At 48.8% G+C, this 7035-nt stretch overlaps 1 long non-coding RNA gene across 1 annotated transcript in view; it reads right to left on the bottom strand.

The window, feature by feature from the left end:
* Positions 1–1280: 1280 nt before the first annotated feature.
* Positions 1281–7035, bottom strand: part of LOC101928306 (uncharacterized) — a 67864-nt gene continuing 62109 nt past the window's right edge. Inside the window, exon 3 of the long non-coding RNA NR_125893.1 lies at positions 1281–1470. This is a non-coding gene — a long non-coding RNA (uncharacterized LOC101928306). The remainder of the gene's footprint in view (positions 1471–7035) is intronic.

The raw sequence follows: 7035 nt of genomic DNA, 5'->3' as shown, positions 1-7035 counted from the left end.
GGTAAGGCTGGGGCAGAGTCATTGCCCCAGGTGAGGAAGCTGAAGACGACACCCTGCCTCCAGTCCAGAGCACTGCGCCACCCGGCTGACCTGCCTGCACATACATGGCCCACCCGGTTCTCCTGTTAGGAGTTTTATGTATGTTTCTCGTTTAATCATCACAGAGGCCCATGGAGTGTGGGGACTGTTATTATCTCTGGTTTACAGATGAGGAAACTGGGCTTAGAGAACTTAGCTACTGGCTTGAGGCCGCCCGAACAGGAGCTAAGAGTTCTAAATCTAACTACTCTTTCTACACCGTGGCATAATCCTCTCACCGCCACTGTCATACTAGATCCTTCCTGCTCACCCAGGCCCCACCTCTTTTGGCTTCACAAGATGGGTGCATGGTAGGGGGTGTGGGATACAGAGGGTGAAGGAGACGCAGTCTTTACCCTTAGTGCTTACAGGATCGTTGGAGACTTGAGACAGCCATCCAAAACCAATCCCAATGCACAGTGCATCATGCAGGGCCTCAGTTTCCTTTTCTGTAAAATGGGCATGACACCACTGATTTGACGGCAAGGTTAGGAGGCTTCGATGAGATAACACCATTGGGAAAAAACTTGGTCTTGATAACAAGGATTGCTCCTGTCTTGCTGAGACAGCAAAAGAAAGAAGGAATTATGGGAGTAAGGACTAGAGACGGAAGGTGAGAAAAGACGGAGCGAGGAGGAATCAGGAATGGAAGCAGAGAAGCACAAGGACAGCTGAGAGAAGAGCACAAGGTAGGGTGCCCATGGCTGGGCTTTTACTGCGCACTCAGTGTGTACCAGGCCTCGGGCTGGGTGCTTTACGTGCATAAAGCCATTCAATTTCCAACAGGGAGAGTGGAGGCGATTATTTCTACTTTACAGAGGAACCCTCTACTGCGTGACATGGGCATGGACCACAACCCAAAGGTTGTTGTGACAGAGCTCTCAACCCAACCTGGGGACCTGGAGGGATCACCGTGGGACAAAAAGGCAATCAAATTCCCAGCTCCTGGAACAGGCCCGTTCCTTCTTAAGATCTCTGTTCTTCCAGGACCATCTCTGTGCCCAGTAACACAGACTCGGTAGAAAGCAGGGAGGGACCGTAGTAAATGCAAATGTTTTTGTTTTACACAATACCTGTTCTTATAGAAATAGAGAAGACCACAGATGAGCTGGGAGAAAAGGAAAACCTCCTGAATCCCAATCCTTAGACACTGATGCATACATTTCCAATATTTATACCAAATGGGATCATAATGCATCTTGTATTTTGCAAGTTCTTTTTGAACTTTATTATAATGGACAGCTTTCCACATCATTAATATTCTTGTACAGCACTGAAATGACAAGCACTGTTCAGCCGTTGTAGAATGTTGTCTAACAATTTCCCAATTCAGCAGGCCTCCTTCACCCACTTTTGCCTTCCTTATGTCAGTTATCCACGATCAACTGAGCTCTGGAAGTAGATGAGTACAGTACAATAAGATATTTTGAAAGAGAAAGAGACCATATTCACATAACTTTTATTATAATAGATTGTTATAATTGTTATTACAGTAGATTGTTGTAATAACAGTAGATTGTTATAATTGTTCTTATATTACAGTAGATTGTTATGATTGTTCTATTTTATTATTAATGTTGTCAATCTCTTATCGTGCCTGCCTAATTTATAAATTAAACCTTATCATAGTTATGAGCGTATAGGAAAAGACATAGCGCATTTAGGGTTTGATTCTATCTGAGGTTTCAGGCATCTGCAGGTCTTGGAACATATCCCCTGCAGATAAGGGGATAAGTTGATAATTGTGATAATTATCACAATTTAGAAAGTGGCTTTGGATACCCTCATAACTAAGGTTCACATCGTCATTTGCAGTAAAAAGATAACATCACACAGCACTCAGTACCAGATAGGAAAGACAGAAGGGGTTTGTGGGCAGAGAAGGGAAGAGTGGCGAGCAGAGGGGCTGGTGGAATTTGCTTCCAGGTGGTAGAAGATGCGGAAATTCCCTGCTTGTTAAAACAAGAGAGGACATGGAGGGCTCTGATCTCAAGGGCACGGGCACGGGCGGAGCCCAGCTAGCCCGGGGCTTGTCGGCTGTAGGTTCCCTCTATCATGCGGGGCCAGGGAGGCCCCTGGATGCTTCTGCTTCCCCCAGTCCAGCGCCAACTCCACTGAGCCTGGCCAGCTTCTCTGTGTAGGCCCGACCCCAGCTGGGCTGTAGGGCCTTGAGGACAAGGACCACATTGGAATCATTTCTCTATTGCCCAAGTGCCTTACGTAGGGCTGGGCACAGAGTCACTGACAGTGAATGATCACGTGAGACAATGAATGAGTGAGTGATTCTTGCAGAATTTAGAGAGGGCTCAGTCAGGTGCACAAGCAGAAGTAACAGGAGGCTATTTTCCAACCCTGTCATTAGAGAGTCAGAGGAATTGATGAGACATTGACTTGATTCCTTCTCAGCTACTGGTTTATTCTGCATGTCCAGCAAATTACTGAACCTCTCTGCCATACAGTTTCCTTGTGGGTAAACTGGGGACGATAGGAGGTGGTGCTGGTGCTGATGAAGATAAGACGGGTGGCATTTTACTGTATGTGATTATACCCAAAATGAAAAAGGGAGGGTGAAAGCTCTGAGCCAGGCACCTGGCATCAACAGGATATCGATTGTTAGAAAATCTGTGCACTCTTAAGGGGACCCGGGATTTATTTTAATCAAATATAAGACTCAAGGAAGTGACTATCATGAATGAAAAAGTGTTTCTCTCACGGATCCCTGGAAATGACAGGCACAGCACTCCGTGCAAGTCACCAGGGTCAGTCAGGAGGCAGAAGGGGCAGAAACACGTGGGCAAGAGCCTTTGCTGTGGTTTCCATGGGAAGGAATGGGCAAGGCAGCGTCACTACCCTGGGTTGCCTAGGGGCATAGAGGGGAACAGTGGTTCTGACTGAGAGCTCAATAGAGGAGGTGGTTGGGGTGTGGGATCTGGACTGGTTGGTTTACATCTGAAAGTCACACTCACAGGAGTGGTTTCCAATCTATAGAAATTGGCTAGCCCTGGGAAGGGGCAGTCTCTCTAAGGTCTGCAAGGTCTCAGACATGAAAGCATCAGAATACAGAAAATAAAAGACACGGTTTGGCCGGGCGTGGTGGCTCACGCCTGTAACCCCAGCACTTTGGGAGGCCGAGGCGGGCGGATCACGAGGTCAGGAGATCGAGACCATCCTGGCTAACACGGTGAAACCCGTCTCTATTAAAAAATACAAAAAATTAGCCGGGCGTGGTGGCGGGCGCCTGTAGTCCCAGCTACTCGGGAGGCTGAGGCAGGAGAATGGCATGAACCCAGGAGGTGGAGCTTGCAGTGAGCCGAGATTGCGCCACTGCACTCCAGCCTGGGCGACAGAGTGAGACTCCATCTCAGAAAAAAAAAAAAAAAAAAAAAAAGACATGGTTTATATACTACGAGGCCCAATGCAATAGCAGGGCTCTGAGATCAGCTGAATTCAAATCCCAGTTTCATTGCTTTTGTGTTGGTGGTTTTTCATTTTTTAATTTTCATTTTTTGAAATAAGGTCTCACTCTGTCACCCAGGATGGGGTGCAGTGGTGTGATCACAGCTCACTGCAGCCTCAACTTCCCAGGCTCAAGCAATCCTCCCACCTCAGCCTCTCATGTAGCTCGTGCGTGCCATCATGCTTGCCTAATTTTTTCAATTTTTGTAGAGATGGGGTTCTCACTTTGTTGCCCAGGCTGATCTTGAACTCCTGGACCCAAGCAATCCTCCCATCTCAGTCTCCCAAAGTGCTGGGATTACAGGCATGAACCACCATGCCCAGGCTTGTTATGTGGCTTTTAGCAAGTCACTAAGCCATTCTGAGTCCCTGTGCCATCAGCTGTAAAATAAGGACTACAGCAGCTACCTCTAGTGGTGTGTCAAGAGTGGCCAGCCAGGCCTCTGCCTGGGACATGGCTCATAAGGGCAGGAAAACATCACTGGCAAAAATCAGAAATCCAGCTCCAGTTAGTGCAGGTCTCCACTCACGATAGCTTACAGAGTTGGCCAAAGGGGAGCTTGAACCCTGGTCCTGCCAGTGTGGACACTGCCTGGAGTGGAAATTAAACCACACTATTCTCTGGATGACCCGCCTCAGCCATAGATTTCTGTGCCAAGCTCCGCGAGCTGTATCCACTTGGCTCCAGCCATCAATAGGGAATGTGAAGCTGCAAATCACAGCCAGCCGAGATTCAGAAACAGAATGAGGTATTATGTAGGGCTGTTGACCCCAGATGAGGGCTTTATTTTATTATCATCTACATTTTAGACTCTTTAATATGCCTCCCAAGATGCTGTCTGGTTTGGAAAATCACCTATAATAAATGCACATAATAAATCTCTTATTTTGAGCATAGAGAGGCATGCAATTTTTATTAATAAAAATAAGTTCCTCTCTGCACCCCAGCAAATAAGTGTTCCACAAGTATTTAAAGACAATCTGTTGAAAGGATGCCAACTAGCCCACCTCCCAGAGCAACTAGCCAGTCTCAGTTGGGCCTCCCCTGCTCACAGGGTGAAATGAAAGGGTGTTCTAGAAGGTGCCGTCATCTGCTCCCTTCCCTGTCATCTTGTGGGTCCCAGCCATTCCCAACCCTGGGCAAATCCATCCACTCACACTGTCCCTGGAGAAATCACACAAGGTCATAGGACCTCCTTCTTCTCCCTTGTCCTGAACTAGACCCTCCCCATCCTGCCATCCCTGGGGTTCCTGGCCTCCTGTCTCACTCCCTCCTTCATCAGACACTCTGCAAATCTCCACCCTAGGAGAAGAAGAGGAAAAGACCCTGTGTGTCCATCACAGGGAAGATGGAGGGGATGCAATGCCCTGGCGTATAAGTGACAGATTTCACCACCACTTCACAGCAACATGATGGATCTTAAGACCTCACACAAGGCTGAGAAGGAAGAAAGAAAGAAGGAAGGAAGGAGAAGGAAGAAAGGACAGGAGGAAAGAAAGAAGAAAGGGAGAAATTGAGATATAGGACCCAACACGTCCTACAAAAATATATATATCCATACAAATAGCAGCACATATTTTATAATTGAAAAGTACACGTCAAAACTGTAGAACGGTTGACTATGGGACGAACGGAGCTGGGATATGGGGCTAAGAGGGAAGAAATCAGAGAAAATAAAGGCTTTCTCCTACTAGATGGGGATGAGGTCAGGAAATAAGAATATGATCACCACAACCCTCTGCATATGAGGCTCCATAAGAAAGAAAACATAAGGAAAAGCTAAGCACAGACACAGACACACACACACACACACACACACACACACACACAGGCAAATCCTACTGTAAAAATGACCTGTTTTTTGATTATTCCAATGAGCCATGCTTGCTGCATGCCAGGCTTTGGACATGCAATTCCCTCTGCATGAAATGCTGTTCCCTACACTTTCAGCCACTCAACTTTGCCCGTCCTTCAGCTGTCTCCATTTCCTGTCCTTCCCCCACCTGCCCCACCTGGGCCAGGTGGCCATACCTGTTGTATTAGTCAGCTCAGGCTGCTCTAACAGAACACTACAGACCAGGCAGCTTAAAGAACAGGAGTTTCTTTTCTCACAGTTCGGCAGGCTGGAAGTCCAGGATAAAGGTGCAACAGGGTTGGTTCCTGGTAAGGCCTCTCTACCTGGCTTGTAGACAGCCACCTTCTTGCTGTGTCCTCACACAGTCTTTCCTGTGTGGATGCTCGAGGGGAGAGGGCTCTGGTGTCTCTTCCCCTCCTTATGAGGACACCAACTGTACTAGATTGGGGCCCCACTCTGATGGTCTCATTTCACCTTAATCACCTCCCTAAAGGCCCTATCTCCAATGACAATCACACTCTGAAGTATGGGGTTTCAGGGCTTCCACATGTGAATGTGGGTGAGGGGGACACAGTTTAGCCCCCAACACCCCTCCTGCCCGTGTTCGCTTTCCTTCAACAGTTTCTCACGCACCTGCGCGTATCCGAGGCTATCCTCTGAGCACACCCATGTCAGGACTCACGCACCTTCCATGGTCATCCTCGCCTGCTCAAACACACCTTTGCCCCCTCCTCCTTGCCGCAAAACTCACAGACCCGCATGATGTTTCAGTGGGCAAATGCAAAGGTCCCTCTCAGCCCACGTCCCTGGGACTTCCCCATGAGAGCCTGCCTTGCCTGGTCCTTGGGCTCTGCCCTCTCCTCTCCTTTCTCTGCTTTTCACCCCAGCAGTGGCTTCTTGCTGCTTCCACATGCCAGCCCGGCTCCCCTGGACCCACTCCCATTCCTCTCTGCATGGTTCCTGGGGGGTCTCTCCACACCATGACCCCCTCTTACGTGGTTCACTGGCCATGTGGATGCCACAGGCCCCTCCAGCTCTGTACAGCATGAATGAATTCATCTCTTTCCCCCACAAGCCTATTCTCTGTCTGGCCCCACCACTGGTGACACTGGAGACCTGGGCATCCTCTGTGACTCCTCCGTCAATCCCTCCATTGGACCAACCACCAAATGCTGTCCTTCCATCCTGCTGCTTGTCTCAGCTCCCTGCAGGTTGGGGATTGCTTTGCTGTGCAGGGACACCAAGATGTGGGAAGCAGAGGCTGGACTCAAGAGTCCTGCCAGAGGCAGATTTCGAGACAAGCAAGTGAAGGCGGTTGGATAGATGGAGAGGAGGGTGTTCAACTGGTCTGCTCATGGCTCCATCCCCACCAAGAAACAGAGACTCTCAAACTGTTTAATACAAATACTTTAATACAAAGACTTTAATACAAAGACTACTCACCAAGTTGTGAACGAGGTTTGGGTAACCAGCAAGAGACAGTGTAGAACCCAGGGGCTAAGGGCAGGGGGTAGTGTCACTGCTCCTAGGCCCGATGGGGAGTGAGGGGGTGGTCTCTGGAACGGAGACAGAAACACAAGATGGGAGCAACGGGCCAGAGCAGTGGGGCTCTAGCAGACAGAAGCAGCCCGTCCTAAGCAACCTC

Source organism: Homo sapiens, chromosome 4 (assembly GCF_000001405.40).
Source record: "Homo sapiens chromosome 4, GRCh38.p14 Primary Assembly".
NCBI classification, from domain to species: Eukaryota; Metazoa; Chordata; class Mammalia; order Primates; family Hominidae; genus Homo; species Homo sapiens.
Note: the sequence above shows the minus strand (reverse complement) of the source record. Positions and strands in the feature narration are given on the sequence as shown.